This window comes from Homo sapiens, chromosome 14 (genome assembly GCF_000001405.40).
Source record: "Homo sapiens chromosome 14, GRCh38.p14 Primary Assembly".
NCBI lineage: Eukaryota > Metazoa > Chordata > Mammalia > Primates > Hominidae > Homo > Homo sapiens.
In genome coordinates, this window is record NC_000014.9 from 59,726,640 (window position 1) to 59,748,419 (window position 21,780).

General features: G+C 42.8%; 1 protein-coding gene across 4 annotated transcripts in view; it reads right to left on the bottom strand.

The window, feature by feature from the left end:
• The window catches only part of RTN1 (reticulon 1), a 274,801-nt gene that overhangs the window by 130,664 nt on the left and 122,357 nt on the right, over positions 1–21,780 (bottom strand). For all 4 annotated transcript variants that reach the window (XR_007064042.1, NM_021136.3, XM_047431674.1 and 1 more), the window contains exons 2-3: positions 19,069–19,842; positions 280–1,029 (exon numbers count right to left, since the gene is read on the bottom strand). Coding sequence is in view for 3 of the 4 variants with exons in the window: in NM_021136.3 (NP_066959.1) it covers positions 280–1,029; positions 19,069–19,842 (1,524 nt within the window). In the remaining variant the exon portion in view is untranslated. The remainder of the gene's footprint in view (positions 1–279; positions 1,030–19,068; positions 19,843–21,780) is intronic.

A 21,780-nucleotide genomic window follows, 5' to 3' on the forward strand; every position in this document is an offset into this window, starting at 1 on the left:
TAGGAGATCCTGGAGTGAACACAAAACCGCTCATTATTAGGGAGGCTGGGTTCAGCCAGTCCTGAGTTGCCCTGAGCACGCGGTTCTGCCACCGACTTCTGTCCCAGCTGCAGATCTGAATTCTCTCATCTCCTCCCATCCCCCCTGGAACCGTTCTCTGGTCAACTGTTTGATCAGCATGGGGATGACTCCAGGGCTGAGCCAGAACCGCCCCTGCTGAATGCTCAGAGCACCCAGAGGGAGGACACTAACCAAGCATCCCTGCTTGGGATCCTTTACCTTTTTGCTTATTGAGAAACAGCAGTGGGGGCGGGGCGCCAGGACCTAGAGGCCCAGGGCCCTTTGTGGCCGCAGGACTTTGGTTGGAACTCGAGTCTTCTTCAGGCTTCCGTGGCAACATGGGCGTCTCAGGCTCCAGGGCTCCGTCTCCAGGGGGCAGCTCGGGGCCAGGCTGGGGCTCAGTTGAGGGGTAGTCGAGGAAGGAACCCGGCTCGGCCAGGCCCCGCCGGCTTGGCGCACGCTCCTCGGCCCGGACGCCAGTCTCCTCCCGGATGGCATCCAGGGCGCTGGGCTTCATCGGGGGTGAGTCCTGCTCCCGCTTGGGGCTCTCCTCCGAGGCCGAGGAGGCGTCGCACGACTCGATGATGAGCTCGCTGTCCAGCTCGGCCTCGCGCTCCTCCCTCAGGATGCTGTACTGGATGGATGGCGAGGCGGGCGAGGGCGGCGGGCCGCCCACGTGGCCAAAGCTCACATAGCCTGAGGGCAGCGCGTCCTCCGCGGCCATGGGGTCCTCGGACACCAGCTCGATCTCTGAGTCCCCCGACTCCGCGCTGCTGGCCTCGTGGTCCAGGGGGCTGGGGATGGTTGGCGGTCCGGACCTGGCCTTGACCTCGGGCCTGTCGGCCAGCTGGCCCACCGGCCGTGGGTTCTCGGCGGTTTCATACGATAATCCCTTTGCTTCTTTGATGGCGGTGATCAGCTCATCCTCGGAGATGCTGCCTTTCCCCTGGGATTCTGCAGCAGATGGTTCTGTCGTCCCACAGAGCGAAGGAGAGCCACGGAGGCACACACACGGACAGACAGATGGACAGAGAGAGGAGGGATAAAACAAAATTCCATTAGGCGAGATGTTTTGTCGTTGCTTGAGAAACACATATCTCATTAGCACAAAAATAATCTGTTTCCAGGGCTATGCTGGAAAGACAGGCCACCTGAACTAAAAGGCTAATTACTGTTATGGCCCAATTAATTAGTGTTTTACAGACCTCTCTATCTTCAGCTAGCTATTTTAAAAAATGACCCAGCAATATCTTAGCAACAGAATCTCAGTTGGTGTTCCTGTTTCAATGCAGAGAAGATTCTACAAGTCATCGTTTTAATTTCTGATTCATTCTCTCAGGGAACTTTTTCAATTTCACAGATTTTATCAGATAATCTGATGTATACAGCACTCTAATTGGGCCCACGAATATCAACAAATCTGAAAATCACCCATTATTCCTCGTCCATTGCTGTTTATATCCTCTCCTTTAGCAAGACAAAGCAGGTAGTTTTGAGCCTTGGACACAACTTGACTTCTGAGCTTTATATTTCCAATAAGAATCAGTATCTTTTTTTTTTTTTTTTTTTTTTTTTGCAACTAAGTGGAGCAATGTAAGAGATCACTTCTGCCAATTCCACCAAGCAGGCTGTGCAGATTACCATAATGGACTATCCTGCAAGGCTTTCCATAGTGGCAGCCCACTGTATTCTTTCCCTTTCTTCTCCTCTCTTCACTTCCTCTCGAGAAGAACAAAACCTGAGAGTCACTCCTGGTCCCTGGATGAATGCCTGCCTTCTGCCTGATGTTTATCCAGATGGCCTAAAGGCTACACTGGCAATCTTGCTGAGCTTTCCCTCCCATAGATGAGACGACCTGGGATCACCATGACAACAGTGTTCAAGAGTCTCGTTTTCCCTTGCCATACAGAAGGGCTTTATTTTAGAATATCTTAGTGGGATCTGGTCCTTTTGTTAGCAATAACTAGTTGCATTTATCCAAAGCTTTGAGGGATCTGTGGCTTTAGGACTGTGGGAGAACCCCAAATGGATAAAACATTTTAGATTTTCCTAATTATTTATGAATCAGAATTGATTTTATTCTTTATCCATATTCATTCATCTGTTATTTATTGAGAACCTAATATGTGTTAGGCCCTTTTCTACACACTTGGGATATATTAGCGAATGAAACAGATAACAAAGTCTCTGCTTATACTCTAGTGGAGGGAACACAATATACAAACAATATATATAGTAAATAAGTAAAGTATATAGTATGTTAGAAGATGTTAAGTGTTATGGAAAAAAGTAGAGTAGGGTAAGGAAACACAAGTTCTGGGTCAGGGTGGAGATGAGTTTGCAATTTTAAATAGGGGAGTCCGTGTAGGCCTCATTGAGAAAGTAACCTATATTTAACACTTGAAGCAGGTGAGAGAGTGACTCATGAAGATATCCAGAGGAAAAGCACGTCATGCAGAGGAAAACAGATAATGCAAAGGCTCAGAGGTGGGAGCTGCACTGATTCCCAGGTATCATAGGCAGGCCATTATGTCTGGGCAAAGTGAATAAGTTGGGAAATAAGAGATCAGTGACCCAAGGAGTTGGGGCAGATCATGTAGGATCTCATGGGGCTTTTATTCTGAGTGAGATTAGAAGACATTGGAGGGCTTTAAGCAGAGGAAGGATATGATCTATGGGTTCCCCCCCTTTTTTAGTAACTTAAAACAACAACTACTTCATTATCTCTCATATGAATCATGTTTTTAAAAATTTATTCTATGATCCTCAACTCTATTTTTACAGGAGTTAGTTCCTTAATAAGTTGTACACATAGTTGTTTGATATGATTTCAGACAGCGGAAAAGTGTGAAAGTTTCACCAGCTTACTTCTGAGTGGTTGACTAGAGCACGGAGAAATAAGATAAGGAGTGGTGTAAATTAAGAAATATTCTGTACCTCCAGAGCACTGCTAGTAGCAGCAGCATCCTCTGCTGGGTGTCACGCACTTTACATATGGAACTTAGGGTCTAGGGACAATAGATTAAGCTACTTGTCCAAGGTCACTGTAGTGGTTTTCTCTCTGCCCGCTTGGATCCATTCCTTTCTTTCTCTGCCCTCTCCTGTGCTCTGAGAGGCTGACCTACATAGAAAGCATACCCAGGATTCCTTTCCCTTTGGTTTCTGGTTGTTTTTAGCCAATAGGAAGCCCAAGGGCTGGGATGAAGGAGATGTTGAGATATTTATACCCTCTGCTGCTTCTGAAGTTCCAGCTCTTAGCAGGCTTCAAGAACGCTGTTCCTTCCTCTTGGTCTTTAGGTCTAGGGGTAGTAACAGCTCCCTAATGTTAAGGCTTTGGCATCATTTGTCGGTTTTCTTGGCCATCTTTACACTTCTGTAAATAGCCCCTTCTTTAAACTCTCTTCAGTCACAACCTTTGAGTGTGTCACTTTTTTCTTGCTAGGACCCTAGATGATATAACTACATGGTTAGAAATTATTTGACCTGAATTTGAATGCATGTCTATTTCATGTGTTTTACACTATATCATGCTACATCTTTTTAAAAGGGGGATGCAGTCTGAGATGTGGCAAGTTATATTTTGGGGCATGAGAAGGAGAGGAAAAGTGAACTGGATAACCACAAGAAAAAGAATGAAATTAAACCCCTACCTCATGTTGTATTTTAAAATTTCCTTCAAATGGGTCAATAGCCTAAATATAAGAGCTAAAATCATAAAACTCTAGAAGAAAACATAGAAGTAAATCTTCATGACCTTGGATTAGAAATCGTTTCAGAGATATGACACCAAAAACAGAAGCAACAAAAGAAAAACTAATAAACTGGGCTTTTGTGCTTCAGAGAATACCATAGAGAAAGTGAAAGCACAATCAACAGAACAGGAGAAAATATTTGCAAATCATATATCTGATAAGGGACTCATATCTAGAATATATGACAAACTATTACGACTCAATAATAAAAGGCAAGCCAATTAAAAATGGGCAAAGAACTTCAATAGACAGTTCTCCAAAGGCAATTTACAAATGGCCAAAATGCACATGAAAATATGCCCAACATCATTATTCACCAGAGAAATGCGAATCAAAACTACTGTGAGATACTACTTCATAACCATACTAGGATGGCTATAATCAAAAAGCCAGATAAAAACAAGTTCTGGAAAAGATTTAGAGAAATTGGAACCTTTATGCACTGCTGGTGGGAATGAAAAATGTTGTAACTGCTTTGGACAAAAGTCTGACAGCTCCTTAAATATTTAAACATAGAGTCATCATATGATCCAGTAATTCCACTCCTAGGTATCTACCCAAGAGAAATGAAAGTATATGTCCACACAAAAAACTTGTACATGAATGTTCATAACAGCATTATTCATAATAGCCAGAAAAGGTAGAAACAATCTAATATCCATCAACTGATAAATGGATAAATAAAAATGTAATATATCCATACAATGGAATATTATTTAGACATAAAAAGGAGTGAAGTACTGATATGTGTTACAACATGGCTAAATATTAAAAACAGTGAAATAAGTCAGTCACAAAGGACCACATATTATGTGAGCCCATTCATATGAAATGTCCAGAATAAGTAAATTTATAGAGAAAGAAAGAAGAGTAGTAGTTATGGGGAGTGGGGAGATTTGGAGGGTGAGAAAAGGGGGTGCAGGGTTTCTTTTTGGGGTAATAAGATGCTCTAAAATTTATTGCAGTGATGGATCACAACTCTGTGAATATACTAAAAACCATGGAAATGTACATTTAAATGAATTGTATAGTATATGGATTATATCTCAATAAAGCTGTTTAAAAAAAAATGGAAGTTTGGCCTTGAATCTAAACTTGGATTGTACTACAAGTGAAAAGTAATGCTTTTATTATGTTAAGCCACCAAGATTTTGGGATTTATCTGAATTCTACTGAATACATCATTTCACTCTGGATTGTACCCTTACTGCTTGCCTCAGTTCACTGGCAACTTCCCAATCGTTTTTGAGTTCTCATCTTATTTGTCTTCTCAACAGTATTTGACACACTGTCCACTCCTCCTTTGGTGTCTGCAACCCTACTTTCTTCAGATTTTCCTCCTAGCTCTCCTGATCTCATCTCTTCTCAGATATGAAATGTTGGTCTCCCCCAGAGTTCTTCCCTAGGCTCTCTTCTTACTCCACTCCATCTCAAGGTGATTTTACCCATTTCCACCATCACTAGGTCCCAATTACCATTACTGTGCTTATGACTCACAGTATTCCCTGCCGCTCCTAGAGAATAAAAAGAAAACAAAACAGAATGGGCTAGGTGCAATTGTGTTGTACAATGTTCTAGAGAAACTTAGAGGAGGTCATTGAGGAAGCTGCACTTGAATTGATCTTGGAACAGAAACAGAACCTTGAAAGGCAGGCATTGTTCAAGAGTGAACTCCAAAAGCAAAGATATGGAAGTGAAAAAGGAAGGGGTCTGCTCAAAGAAGGACAAAGTCAAACGTTTAACTGGAGTATTATTGGGAATGATGCAGGGTTGATGTAACTGAAAATGGAAGCAGGCCCCTGGTCATGGAAGGCCCTGAAAACTAGTTTAAAAGTTAATCCTGAAGAAGTAGGTATATGGAGCGGCCAAGATGGCCGAATAGAATCAGCTTCGGTCCCTGGCACTCATGGAGAGGAACGAAAGGGGCAAATGAATACAGTACCTTCAATTAAAATATCCAGGTTCTCCCACTGGGATTGATTGGGGAAACAACACACGGAGAATGAAGAAAAGCAGGGCAGGGTGACAGTCCACCCAGAAGCAACACAAAGCCAAGGGAACCCCCCTGCCTCCCAGCCAAGGGAAGCAGTGAGTGACTGTGTGATCCTGGAAAACCACGCTTCTTCCATGGATCTTTGCAACTCTCGGATCAGGAGATCCCCTCATGAGGGCCACCAGGGCCTTGGATCTGACACACAGAGCTATGTGGAGTCTTAGCAGAGCAGCTGCTCAGGCATGCACAGAGACCCAGAAGCTTTACATACTCCAGCCCTAGGATCCCCCAACAAATATGCCTGCAACTTAGGCAAGGTGGGAGGTCTGCACATACCCCTAGGAAAAGGGCAGAATCCAGGGAGCTGAGCAGTGTCGTTTTGTGGGCCCCACTTCTATGGCACCTTACAAGATAAGGCCCACTGGCTCGGAATTTCAGCCAGCCACCAGCAACAGGGTAGAGCCTGCCTGAGACTGCATTGGAGCCCCCCGGTGGGAGTGGGGGTCACCATCTCTGCTGTTTGGTCAACTCAGCCACTCCAGCCTGCGGGCTTTGAAGAGTCCAAATGGTCCAGTGAAGGAAGGGTCCCCCCAGTAGCACAACACAGGGGCTTTGCCAGATTGTGGTCAGACTGCTTTTTTTTTTTTTCTTTCTTTCTTTCTTTTGAGGCAGAGTCTCGCTTTGCCGCCCAGGCTGGAGTGTAGTGGTGCGATCCCTGCTCACTGTAACCTCCGCCTCCCGGGTTCAAGCAATTCTCCTGCTTCAGACTCCAGAGTAGCTGGGATTACAGGGGTGCCCTTACCACACCTGGCTAATTTTTGTATTTTTAGTACATACAGTGTTTCACCATGTTGGCCATGCTGGTCTTGGAAGTCCTGACCTCAAGTGATCCACCCACTTTGGCCTCCCAAATGCTGGGATTACAGGCATGAGCCACCGTGCCCGGCCAGACTGCTTCTTTAAGCAGGGCTCCCATCCATTCTTCCGCACTAGGCGAGGCCTCCCAGCTGGCCCCTCCAGCCACATCTGCTGGCACATATTAGGGACAGAGCTCTGATCACTCCCTGGGATGGAGTGCTCAGAGGAGGGGAGGGCTCCCTCCTGGGCTGGCATTCTAGCCTGGGGACTTTGGAGAGTCCAAGCTGACAGGAGCAGAGGTGGTTCCTCACCACAACACAGCTATTTTGTTGAGGCATGGCCAGACTGCTTCTTTAAGTGGGACCCCAATCCACTCCTCCTTGCAGGGGGGTCCTCCCAGCTGGGGCCTCTGGCCACCCCTGCTCATGTTCTCCCTGGGTGAAATGCCTGAGGGACAGGACAGGCTGCCACTTTGGCCATTCAGGCTTCTCAGCTGGTCTAGCCTGTGGGGCTTGGAAAGCCCAAACCAATTGGGGGCTGAAGGGATCTCCAACACAGCACAGCTGCCCTACCAAAAAGCAGCCAGACTGCTTCTTTAAGTGTGTCCTTGATCCCCTTCCTCCTGACTGGGTGAGACCTCCCAACCAGGGTCTCCAGCCACCACCTACAGGCACATTTGGGCTGGCAAAAGGTCAGCACTCCCCTGGGATGGAGCTTCCAGAGGAAGAGGCAGGCTGCCATCTTTACTGTTTCCCAACTTTCACTGCTGATGCCTCCAGGTATGGGAAAAACCAAGGCAACTAAGGTCTGGAGTGGACCCCCAAAAAACTGCAGCAGCCCTACAGCAGAGTGGACAAATTGTTAAAAGAAGAACAAACAAAAAACAACAACAAAAACAATAACAAACCCATAAAAACCCCATCCAAAAGTCAGCAACCTCAAAGATCAAAGGTAGATAAGCCCACAAAAATGAGAAAGAACCAATGCAAAAACTCTGAAAACTCAAAAAGCTAGAGTGTCCCTTTTCCTTCAAATGACTGCGAACCTTCCCAGCAAGGGCTCAGAACTGGGCTGAGGCTGGGACCGCTGAAATGACAGAAGTAGGCTTCAGAAGGTGGGTAATAAACAATTTTACTGAACTAAAGGAGCATGTGGTAACCATTGACAAAGAGGCAAATAATCATGATAAAACAATACAGGAGGTGACAGACAAAATAGCCAGTTTAGACTGGAACATAACCAACCAGCTAGAGCTGAAAAACACACTACAAAAACTTCACAATGCAATCATGAGTATTAATAGCAAAATAGACCAAGCAGAGAAAAGAATCTCAGACCTTGAAGAGTATCTTTCTGAAATAAGACAGGCAGACAAGAATAGAGACAAAAGAATGAAAAAGAATGAACAAAACCTCTGAGAAATATAGAATTATGTAAAGAGACTGAATCTACAGCTAATTAGGGTACCTGAAAGAGATGGGGAGAATAGAACCAAGTTGGAAAACATACTTCAGAATATTACCCAGGAAAACTTCCCCAACCTAGTAAGACAGGCCAACACTCAAATTCAAGAAATGCAGAGAACCCCAGCAAGATAATCAATGAAAAGATCATCCCCAAGACACATAATCATCAAATTCTTCAGGGTCAAAATGAAAGAAAAAATGTTAAGGGCAGCCACAGAGAAAGACCAGGACATCTATAAAGGGAAGCCCATCAGACTAACAGTGGACCTCTCAGCAGAAACCCTATAAGCTAGAAGAGACTGGGGGCCAATATTCAACACTTCTAAAGAAAAGAATTTCCAACCCAGAATTTCATATCCAGCCAAACTAAGCTTAATAAGTGAAGGAGAAATAAGATCCATTTCAGACAAGCGAATGCTGAGGGAATTAGTTATCACCAGGCCTGCCTTGCCAGAGTTCCTGAAGGAAACACTGAATATGGAAAGGAAAAACCATTACCAGCCACTACAAAAACACATTGAAGTATACAGACCAGTGACACTATGAAGCAACCACATAAACAAGTCAGAAAAATGACCAGCTAGCGTCGTGATGACAGAATCAAACCCACACATAACAATACTAACCTTAAGTGTAAATGGGCTAAATGCCCCAATTAAAAGACACAAAGTGGCAGGCTGAATAAAGAACCAAGACCCATTAGTATGCTGTCTTCAAGAGACCCATCTCACATGCAAAGACATATATAGGCTCAAAATAAAGGGATGCAGGAAAATTTACCAAGCAAATGGAAAACAGAATAAAGCAGAGGTTGCACTCCTGGTTTCTGACAAAGCAGATTTTAAACCAACAAATATCAAAAAAGATAAAGAAGGACATTACATAATGGTAAAGGATTCAATTCAACAAGAAGAGCTAACTATCCTAAATACATATGCACACAACACGTGGGCACCCAGATTCATAAAGCAAGTTCTTAGAGACCTTCAATGAGATTTAGACTCCCACACAATAACAGTGGGAGACTTTAACACTCCACTGACAATATTAGACATGAAATAATAACAAACAGTCTCTCAGACCACAGCACAATCAAATTAGAACTCAAGATTAAGAAATTCACTCAAAACCACACAACTACAGGGAAACTAAACAGCATGCTCCTGAATCTCTTGGGTAAATAATAAAATTAAGGCAGAAATCAAGCAGTTCTTTGAAACTAATGAGAGCAAAGAGACAACATACCAAAATCTCTAGGATGTAGCTAAAGCAGTGTTAAGAGGGAAATTTATAGCATTAAATGCCCACATTAAAAAGCTAGAAAGATCTTAAGTTAACAACCTAACATCACAACTAAAAGAACTAGAGAACCAAGAGCAAACAAACCCCAAAGCTAGCAGAAGACAAGAACAAAGATGAACTGAAGGAGACAGAGACATGAAAAACCCTTTAAAAATAAACAAATCTAGGAGCTGTTTTTTTAAAAAATAATTTTAAAAATCAACCATTAGCTAGACTAATACAGAAGAAAAGAGAAGAATCAAATAAACACAATCAGAAATGATAAGGGAGATATCACCACTGACCCCACAGAAATACAAACAATGATCAGAGAATACTATAAACACCTCTATGCATATAAACTAGAAAATCTAGAAGAAATGGATAAATTCCTGGAGACATACACCCTGCAAAGACTCAACCAGGAAGAAACTGAATCCCTAAATAGACCAATAACAAGTTCTGAAATTGAGACAACAATAAATAGCCTACCAACCAAACAAAAGCCCAGGACCAGGGACATTTACAGCTGAATTCTACCAGAGGTATAAAGAAGAGCTGGTACCATTTCTATTGAAACTATTCCAGAAAAATTGAAAAGGAGGGACTCCTCCCTAACTCATTCTATGAGGCCAGCATCATCCTGATACCAAAACCTGGAAAAGATACAACAAAAAAATAAAACTTCAGGCCAATATTGTTGATGAACACTGATGCAATAATCCTCAATAAAATACTGGCAAACTGAATCCAGCAGCACATCAAAAAGTTTATCCACCACAATCAAGTAGGTTTACAACTTTGGTTCAACATATGCAAATCAAAACATGTGATTAATCACATAAGCAGATCTAAAGACAAAACCACATGATTATCTCAATAGATGCAGAAAAGGTCTTCAATAAAATTCAACATTCCTTCATATTAAAAACTGTCAATAAACTGGGTTTTGAAGGAACATACCTCAAAATAATATGAGCCATATATGACAAACCCACTGCCAATATCATACTAAATAGGCAAAAGCTGGAAGCATTCCTATTAAAAAGCAGCACAAGACAAGGATGCCCTCTCTCACCACTCCTATTCAACACAGTATTGGAAGTTCTGGCCAGGGCAATCAGGCAAGAGAAAGAAATAAATTGTTTTCAGATAGGAAGCGAGGAAATCTAACTATCTTTGTTTGCAGATGACATGATCCTATATCTAGAAAATCCCATTTTCTCAGTCCAATAGCTTCTTAAGCTGATAAGCAACTTCAGCAAAGTCTCAGGATATAAAATCAATGTGTGAAAATTGCTAGCATTCCTATACAGCAACAACAGGCAAGCAGAGAGCCAAATCATGAATGAATTCCCACTCACAATTGCCACAAAAATAAAATACCTAGGAATACAGCTAACAAGGGATGTGAAGGACCTCTTCAAGGGGAACTACAAACAACTGCCCAAAGAAATCAGAGATGACACAAAGAAATGGAAAAACATTCCATGCTCATGGATATGAAGAATCAATATCATGAAAATGGCCATACTCCCCAAAACAACTTATAGATTCAACATTATTCCCATTAAACTACCATTGACATTCCTCACAGAATTAGAAAAAACTATTTTAAAATTCATTTGGAACCAAAAGAGAGCCAGAATAGCCAAGACAATCCTAAGACAAAGAACAAAGCTGGAGGCATTATGCTACTTGACTTCAAACTACACTACAAGGCTACAGTAACCAGAACAGTATGGTACTGGTACAAGAACAGACACATAGACCAATGGACCAGCATAAAGAAACCAGTAATAAGACCACATACCTACAACCATCTGATCTTTGACTAACCTTACAAAAACAAGCAATGGGGAAAGAATTCCCTATGTAATAAATGGTGCTGGGATAACTGGCTAGCAATATACAGAAAATGGAAACTGGACCCCTTCCTTACACATGTACAAAAATCAACTAAAGATGGATTAAAGACTTAAATGTAAAACCCAAAACTATAAAAACCCTAGAAGAAAATCTAGGCAATACCATTCAGGACATAGGCATGGGCAAAGATTTCATTACAAAGACACCAACAGCAATTGCAACAAAAGCTCAAACTGACAAATGGGATCTAATTAACTAAAAGCTTCTGCACAGCAAAAGAAACTATCATCAGAGTGAACAGAACAGAATGGGAGAAAATATTTGCAATCTATGCATCTGACAAAGGTCTAATATCCAGCATCTACAAAGAACTTAAACAATTTACAAGAAAAAAAATAAACAACCTCATTAAAAATTGGGCAAAGGACATGAAAAGACACTTCTCAAAAGAAGATATACATGCAGACAACAAACATGAATAAAAGCTCAACAGCACTTATAATTAGATAAATATAAATCAAAACTATAATGAGGTACAATCTTACAAAATCAGAATGGCTATTACCAAAAAGTCAAAAAACAACAAATGCTGGCAAGGTTGTGGAGAAAAAGGAATGCTTTTACATTGTTAGTGGAAGTGTAAATTAGTTCAACCATTGTGGAAAACAGTGTGGCAATTCCTCAAAGACCTAGAGGCAGAAATACAATTTGACCCAGCAATCCCATTACTGGGTATATACCCAAAGGAATAGGAATCATCCTATCATAAAGATACAGGCACATGTATGTTTATTGCAGCACTATTTACAATAGCGAAGACATGGAGCCAACCCAAATGCTCATCAATGATAGACTGGATAAAGAAAATGTGGTACATACACCATGGAATACTATGCATCCATAAAAAGGAACAGGATCATATTCTTCACAGGGACATGGATGGAGCTGGAGGCCATTATCCTTAGCAAACTAATGCAGGAACAGAAAACCAAATACCACACGTTCTCACTTATAAGTGGGAACTGAATGATAAGAACACATGGACATATTGAGGGGGAGCAACACACACTGGGGCCTGTCAGACGGTGAAGGGGGAGGAAGGAGAGCATCAGAAAGAAGAGCTAATGGGTGCTGGGCTTAACTCCTATGTGATGGAATGATCCATGCAGCAAAACACCATGGCACATGTTTACCTATATAAAAACCTGCACATCCTGCACATGTACCCCTGAGCTTAAAAGAAAAAAAAAAAGTCAGTCTTTTATTAGGCAGGCATTAGTGGATCCTGGAAGGGTTAGGATGAGCTTAAAAGGGAGGGAAGGCCAGGTGCAGTGGCTCATGCCTGTAATACCAGCACTTTGGGATGCCGAGGCGGGCAGATCACCTGAGGCCAGGAGTTCGGGGAGGCCAGGAGTTCGGGGAGACCAGCCTGGCCAGCATGGCGAAACCCCGTCTCTACTAAAAATACAAAAATCAGCCAGGCATGGTGGCGGGCACATGTAATCCCAGCTACTCAGGAGGCTGAGGCATGGGAATCGCTTGAACCCGGGAGGCTGAGGTTGCAGTGAGCCGAGATCATGCCACTGCACTCCAGCCTGGGCAACAGAGCGAGACTCTGTCTCAAAAAAAAAAAAAAAATGGGAGGGAGGGAAGTAGAAGGAGTATAACCCATTAACAGGACAGGGCAATTGTTGAATTATGACAACTGGAGGTAGGGTGTGAGTTGTGGTGGCCATAGGATAGAAAGAGGAGAAAAATAGAAAAGAGAGAAATCATTGACTTGGGGTCTGATTCATGTGGTGAGTGAGAAAAAGAGGGGTTTCAAAAGCTACTCAGAAATGGTGAGCCTGAGTGAATAAAATGAACAGGGGAACAATGAGCTTGTTTGATGGGACAGGGAAGAAAATTCTTACCTTGGATGGTTCTTCCCTTCTGAGGCACACATCCTTCCGGTTTCACATGCAGAAGCCTCTGTCTAACCACCCAAACTGCTAGGACTGAGGAAACTCCTGCTTGCACAATATTCCTGGGAGGCCACATGGCAGAGCAGCTCACCCTTGTGCCAGCTGGCCTGATGCTGCGTTGTTCTGGAGACAGGCTGGTGCCCACTCATTCTGCACAACTGGGAGCCCCTAGGCAGCCTTGTATTTGCTGTGTGATGATTTAATTAATCTTTGCCCTTTCACCCTTTCCCACTCTCCCTGACCCCAGACTGAAAGTGCCTTGGGAGCAAAGTACAGCCAAGTCGTGTTTGTTCATTATCATATCCTTGCACCCAGCACAGTGCCTGGCACACCGGAGGTACGCAATAAATAGCACTCATATGAGAGCCAGCTCAAATTTTTACAACAGTGGCTCTTATTCAAGTGTGTAGCTCAAAACTGCCCTCAGAAATTCTGCCTTAGTAGAAGTAGGTCTGGATGTAACTCCATGTGTGATTCTAACAGTCACCTCCAGTTAGGGTTGGCAGATTTAGGAAATAAAAATACAGGACACTCAGTTACATTTGACTCTCAGCTAAACAATGAATTTTTTTTTAGTATAGGTATGCCCTAAGAAATATTTGTGTTTTATCTGGCAATTCTACCTCCAGTTGAAAACTACTATGCTAGTGCATTCAGAAAAAGAAGGCCCAGGGTCTTGCTTTATTTACTCAAGAGTAAGGATGATTCCAGACAGCTGCAGGGTCGGGGAGAAAAGGGTCTGAGGAGTTCCATCTTGAGCAAGTGAAGGTGCTACCTTAAAAATAATTCACCCTTACCATGAGTCAAAAGGGACTCGTAGCTCCTATAGATACTGCCCTATGTTCTTAAGGGAAACTAAAACTTTAACAAAATGCTAGGAGTAATCAGGGAAAATTTTAGAACAAAACAGAAGTTTCCATATCTTTGCTTAAAATTTCAACAATTTCAAAGGCCCTCTAAGATATTGGTTATTACGTATCAAGACTGACACTGCAAAGCTAGAAAGAGTCACCTAAAATCATCAGATAAAATAGGAAAATTGAGAGATAAGAAAGGCACCCCAGGGTGATGTGTTTGCTGCTGATGATAATTATGATGATATAATTGAGAGGAATAAAAGGAAAGGTGAACATGGGCTATTTTAGTAAGTTGCAGACACCAGTGTCCAACTGTGAATGACGCTGCTATTAGGACTCCCTTTGTTCCTGGCTCATTCTCCATGCAGCATCCGGAAGGATCAATTGAAAACCCAAGTCTGATCCTGCCACACTTCCCTTCCTTCCCCCTCCTCCAGCCAAGCCGGCCTTCCAGCTGCTCCTGGAACAGACAAGGCATTCCCAGCTCAGGGCCTTTGCACTGGGAGGCCCCTCAGCCTGGCCTCACTTCCTCAGATAGCTACATGACTTGCTCCCTCACTCCATTCAGTCTCTGCTCAAGCTGTTACCTCGAAGAAGCCTCTCCTCACCCCCACCGCCACCACTCTCTTACACTTTGCCTTGCTGTATTTTTCTTCATAACCATTATAACTACCTGATATTATATTATATATTTGGTTATTTGTGTGTATGTCTTCTCAACTAGATTGTAAGCTCCATGAAGCCAGGATTTTCTTGTGAGGCATCACTCACTCGTGAGTCCTGGCAGTAATGGAACAATGCCTGATGTGGAGTAAATGGTCAACACATATTTGTTAAATAAATAGATGAAAGAATAAATGATGTTACTTTTCAGCTTAAAACCCTCCAATGGCTTCCAATTACATTTGGAACAAAATCCAAACTCCTTCCCCACGATCTCGGCCCTGCCTATCTGTCCAATGGTGTTCTCTGCCCCACTTCCCTCTTCCTCCCCTGTGTCACCAACCCCCTTTCAGTTCTCATATAATACAGACTCAGGCCCTGTGCATTTGCTATTCCCCCACACCTGAGGTCCCTCCTAGCTTCTCTCTGAACTGTGGGCTCCTTCTGCTCATTCAGATTTCAGTTCATGTGTCATCTCCTCAGAGGGGCAGTCCTTGGACCCCTCACACCCAACCCTCTATCACTCTTTCTAGTGCTCACACTATAAAATTACACTGTTTATTTATGGGTTTGTTTTTTATTGCCTGTTTCCTCTGACTAGCAGGTAAGCTGTGCAAGGGCAGGGACCTTGTACATCTTATTTACTACAAGGTCTCAGTGGCCAGTGCATGTCTGATGTATAGAAGTCACTCTAAATATTTTTTGAACAAAAGAATGAATTTTAAAAATGGGTAGGAGAATCATAGATCCCATCAATGCAAGGAAATAGCAATGGTAGTTTTCAAATTTAAGTTGATTTACTTTTAATTGCTCATTTCTTCTTGAGGGAAACTGGGGTGTTTTAAGGATGACTTCCTGATTATTGTCCTTTTTGAGGCTAATAGCTCACATAACACCCAGGACCATCATAATATCCCTCTTGGTGTTTGTGTCAGAAACAACATGGTGCTCCTGGTCAATGTCTGGGGCATCAGGGCATTTATTATGTTTTCCTAAATTGCTTCACTTTTTTCATGACTGATCTTGGCTTAAAAGAGACTTCCAGTATTTCAGCTATAACAATTCTCACCTCTCCACCTCAGTGTATATTATGTAGTAAAAATAGGTAAGTATGTTGGAGAACGTTACAAAATGGAATAATCTATTGGAATTGGGAGAAATATAAATATATTAGACACCTTGCTTAAACATCAGCATCTGTGGCTAAAGCTAACCCAAATTAGAATTTCTCTTCAGTTATTCTCCAGATTTGATGATTTCCTTATTTATTAAACAATGATAAACTGGACCCTTTTTTGCTTAACATGCTTTCTTTTTCCTCAGTTTCTATGTAGAATTATGTGCAGTTCTCAATTTTTGTTTTCAATCTGTTGTCACTGGAAATGGCAGAGTGACCCAAGACTCAACAGATGTAATAAAGTCCATATCCTCTACTGTCTATGGGCACAGTGTCACATGGTGCCAGGGGTCATAAGAAGATGGGAAGGGGGTCAGAAACCTCGCAGGATAAAAAGGGCAGGGAGAAAGGCTTCAATGAGAAGCTGATTCTTCCTGTTAATTTCATTCTTATCTGTTGTCATATGACTCTGGTATTTTGATGTGGGATGTATATGGAGAGAGGAGCTGAACATAGGAGAGAATGTGTAATGGGCCATTTTCTCTTTCCTGAATATGCCTTGCTTAGAATGTTTATTTGATTGCAGCTGCAGAGACAATCATTGTCCTAACCCCATACTGTCAAGTGGGCAACCCAACATCGTAAAACTCCAATATCATGTGAGCCAGATCTGCCTTTGTTTTCTCTTGAACCTTCTCCAGAACCCAATTGGGCCATGGCTACTTAAAAATGGAAATTCCCTAAAAATTAATGGACCCTTTGTCAAGTCTTTGCAAACTGTAATTTTTACATGAAGCATGTGCCGTGTAAGTAGACCTATACTTGCTAGGGCATTTCACTATTCCTGAGGACTGGCTGAAGTTCTTGTGGACTGACTACTGGACAACCCGGGAGCTCTGTAAAACACAGCTTGACTATATTAACTTACATCTTCAGAACACCAAGTATCTTTACGGCAGGAAATAATAAAAGAGTTTTACTATGCATTGCCAGAAAGAGTACAAGGAAGCTTGGAAACTCGGATATGTTCTGACCTCATGTTTTAGGCAGGGGCAAGACGTATCTAATCCACCTGGAGCCTTGGTTTTCTGATTTGTCATTACTACCCAAATCTCAATTTACATCTTAAGTGAAGTTCACTGGGCCCTCACAACTCCATGTCCATGCAGCTCCTCAGACTGGAAGGGCACCCTTCCCTTCACCTCTTTGTTTCCCCTGTTCCTCTGAGAGTCACCTGTGGTCCCAGTTCACCTGGGGAGCTGCTGGACTCCAGGGCTCGTCAGCACCGTACAATTCCCTTTCTCAGGACACCAAGCACACTGGATTGGGACTGCTTCCTTGGTCGTCTGGTCCCCTGGAGGCAGGGACTGGTTTTTGTTTGTTTTTTATTTTTCGTTAATTCCCCATCAGTCGTGCCTCATAGAGTACCCAACCAAAAGAAAGTATGTAGAAAGTGTTTGTTGCGTGAATGAGTAAATTTGAAAATCAGGGACCTGGCGCAGTGAATCTTTAAGACCCTTGGAGTTCTATGGTTGAATGAGTCTGAAGGAACTTTGGGGAGAAGGAATTAATGCTAAAATCTATAGGGAAAGAAGATAGGAGGAACTTTCATTAATTCTGTTCTATTCCAACACTTGGATTTGTACTATACCATCAGGGTTTAGAGCAATCGCTCCTCCTCTACAGGCTTTGCTTCCATTTTCAGAGTTTACTAGAAGCTCTTTCACCTGAGGTGCATACCAAAGCTCTTTGGGATATGGTAGAATGCCAGTCACCAGGGGCAGGGGAAGGTTTGAGGACCTCTCACTGTCCTCTTCATCTCGATGCCTCATGGACATTTGAGAGAGGTGGAGATGCAAAGGCTGGAGAGAAGAGAGTGGCACAGGGTGGGGTGAGGAGTTTCCTGCTGCCTCTCTGGCCTTTAGCCAGGGATATAAGAGGCTCCCTTTGTGTTTGACAGAATACGCATGAGTGCTGTTTAGTATCCTGCCTTCAGTCACAGAAAGAGAATGTTCAAGTTAAAAAAGACCATAGCCTAATGAAGTCTAAACTTTAAAAATTTTAATGAAGTACATCTTTTGGTTTCAAAAATAAAATTATATGCAGAACTTCAATAAACTAGAGATATAAAATGACAGTGTTGAGATTGAAAGGGGAAGGGAGGAGTTTGCTTTGCTTAGGTTTCCTCTTCCTGTCTGTGCCATCCCTAAAAGATCCAGAAGTCCACCTTTTCCTTCCCTTTAAGTGTACAGACTTAGAGCTAGGGACAGGAATGTTAAATGCCCCGGCCAAGGTGCTTCAGGCAGTCTACAGAGAACAGCCAGTGTGCTCTCCTCATAATGTCTCCAAGAGACCTGTGCTATAGTTTGAATGTCCCTTCCAAAACTCATGTTTAATCTTAATACCCAATGTGGCAGTATTGAGAGGTGGAGCCTTTGAGAGGCTATGGACTACGAAATATTGAACGATGAAGGCTCTGCCTTCATGAGTGGATTATCCCACTCATGGATTAATGGATTAAAGAGTTAACGGATTAATGGATTATCATGGAAATGTGACTTGTGGCTTTATATGAAGAATAAGAGAGACTTGAGCATAGCATGTTAGCATGTTCAGCCCCCTCACCATATTATACCCTGTACCCACTTGGGACCCTTCAGAGAGTCCCCACTAGCAAGCCAGAAAGCTTTTACCAGATGCGCCCCTTTGACCTGGGACTTCCCAGCTTTCAGAACTGTTAAGAAATAAATTTTGTTTCTTATACATTACCCTGTGTCAGGTATTCTGTTATAAGCAACACAAAACAGACTAAGACAACCCAGATCCTAGCCGAAAGCTAACTGAGAAGCAGGCAGTACTGAATTCTCTGCTCTGGACAGTAGGGCTGCATGAGGATTTTAATGTTTCCAGTATGTCATTCTAACATCTCCCCTCAAATAAAGAAAAAAAAAATTTTACAAAGAAAACCTGATAGGACTTTAAGAGAAATCCCAGATTGCAACCTTTGTACAATCAGCAACAAATTGAAAACTTTGAATATTAATTAAATTAGTTAAACTAAATGAAATTTAAGGGGTCCAGATAGTAAAGTATGTTGAATGAAAATTGTCATTCCTTAATATTTGTTTTAGGGATTGAGATTTCCATATGCTGGGTTTTCCTAAGTCAAGCAATAACAGGGCCTTTACCTGTTCCAGAAGATGGAGGGGTGATAGATCCTGGGCTGTCGTCTTCAGGCTCCGAGACAGTGACAGTGGGGACTGTGTCAGGACTTGGCTTTAGACATATATCTTGCTTCTCAGGGGTCTTCTCTTGGGTAGTGGTTTCAACAGAAGGTTCTATTTCCGTCAGTGTGATTTTGACAGGGGTGGTGATCTGAGGAGCCCTGCGCTGTTCTTCAGAGAGATCATCTATGTATGGAGCAAATGTGGATTCTTCCAATAAATGGTCCTTGATGATTTTTCCCTCCACAGGAGCTGGTTTGTCAGGTTCACGGACTCCTTCAGGTTTAATTGAGATGTCAGTGTCTTTATTCTTAAAGTCCAAGTCTTTATCTTCCAGCTCGGGGTGATGTTGTTCTTGGTGCTTCACCTCCTCGGGTCTGGTTATGTCAATGTATTTATAGGCCTCTGCTTTCATCTGGTCCAGAGGGTCTGCTAAGATCTTGTTCACTTCCGTGGACTCTGCAGGAGTCATCTCTATTCCAGAATCAGAACTAAATAAGCCACGAGACTCTATCCCAGGCACATCTGGTAAGGAGGGGCCGGGTGTACCCAGCTCCTCAGGGCTCTCTGAAATGGTGACGTGGCCATTTTCCTTCTGAAGAATTCCAGTAAAATATGTAGAATCCTCCTGAGGTGGATAGCAGATGTCAGAAATGAGAGATGTGTAACACGATCCTTCCCCATCTTTTGATGTTGTTGAGAAGGTGTGGTCCATGGCACTGGAAACACCTGCCACACCTATGAATCAAAGCAGCAGCAGACAGTGAGTGGGTGCTTGGCGTCAGCTCTCTCTCTTGTCTAACCCACCACCCACCCCTGCCTGGTGAAGACATGACATCCTTTCTCCTTAAGCCCTCGGAGTTCCCTCGGAGCTCCCTCAGAGCACCAGCATGTTAAATTTCCTAATCTCCCCGATAGTCCATACTTGTGGTATTTTTCCAGTAACAGACCCCAGAGGCTCACATAAACTGCCAGGACCAGATAAGTTGGGGACAGATCCTATAAGACTAGGAAATTTATTTTCAACGTCTACCACCTCAACACACAGTGACTTGATCTTAGTATTATTAAAAAGAAACCCTCTTTGTATCTAAAGTATTAACAGCTCTTTAAGTAGAGGTGGAAATTAGGCTACCTCAGGATTGTAACTGCAACAATAGGATAGCTGACTGGGTACAGGAGCTGCTCTTGGAAATTCAATGGCTGGGAGGAGCCTCAAAGAACCCACCTGTCCAGTCCTTTCATTCATGGACTACTGATCCATCCAGTCTCTTTTTCAAGGTCCGCAGAGAAAGGACCTCCTAGCTTTGGGCCTCATTCCAATGTCATATCACCCTAATGGTGTGCTTCCCTGTTTATTTCATCAGTTTTCCCTCTTGTTTTGTTTTCCTCCTCTTTTACTCCTCTACTGCCCATTCATTGCCATCCAGTGATATTCAAAGTCACCCACTGGCAATTCCTTCATTCCACTGGTGGTGCTAAGGGTAAGACAGGTTTCCAAGTTTGAGTCTATAGAATATTTTCACCAGGCTCTAATTCTACTAATACACCAGCCATTTTTTATATTCATTAATAGTGGGCATAGGCCAGGTGCAGTGGCTCACGCCTGTAATTCCAGCACTTTGGGAGGCCGAGGCAGGCGGATCTCCTGAGGTCGGGAGTTCGTAGACCAGCCTGACAACATGGAGAAACTCCGTCTCTACTAAAAATACAAAATTAGCCAGGCGTGTTGGCGCATGCCTGTAATCCCAGCTACTCAGGAGGCTGATGCAGGAGAATTGCTTGAACCCAGGAGGAGGTTGCGGTAAGCTGAGATTGCGCCATTGCACTCCAGCCTGGGCAACAAGAGCAAAACTCCATCTCAAAAAAAACAAAAAAATAGTGAGCATAAAAGGAAAACCCTCCACTGTTTTACTTTGCTGTAAAATTCTACCAGAAGGTATGAAAACCAACCATACCAGAGCATACATTGAGGCGTCACTATATGCTAAGCAGTGGGATTTTTAATCTAATTTTTACAATTGTACAAATTAAGTCCCACACTCTCTACATCTACATACAAACACATTACACACACACATATACACAAACACACACACAGTACGTACAATATCAAAGGTCTTAAGACACACCTGAAGAATAGACTAGAGCAATAACTCATATAAAAGTCATCAAAACAGTGGCAGTAACAGGTCAATAGCTAACATGCGAGTGCTTGCTATGTGTCAGGCATTGTTCTAAACTTTTCATTAATATCAACTCATTTCATAATCAAAGCAATCCTAGAAGGTTGGCAATATTGTTAGGCTCATTTTACAGATGAGGAAACTGAGAAACAAAGGGGTTAAATAACTCACCTAAGATCTTACAGGCAGTAAGTGGTAGAACCAGGATTCACACCCAAGTAACCTGGAAGCCAAGAAACCTCCCCTAATGCGCTTTGCCCCGATTAAGTCAGTCTGTGAGGTTTTTTTTTTTTTTTTTTCCGGGAATATTTACTCAGCATTATTACAAACGAACTTAACTTTTGTCTTTTCCTAGCTTTCTTTTTGGTTGCACAAGCTATTGTTTCTCTACGGGCAGTGGAAAAGCACAAAGCCTCTTCCCTGTTCTAGCACTTTCCTACCTCAGCGGCTTTGCACTAGCTGTTTCCTTTTCTTGGAACTCTCTTCTCCT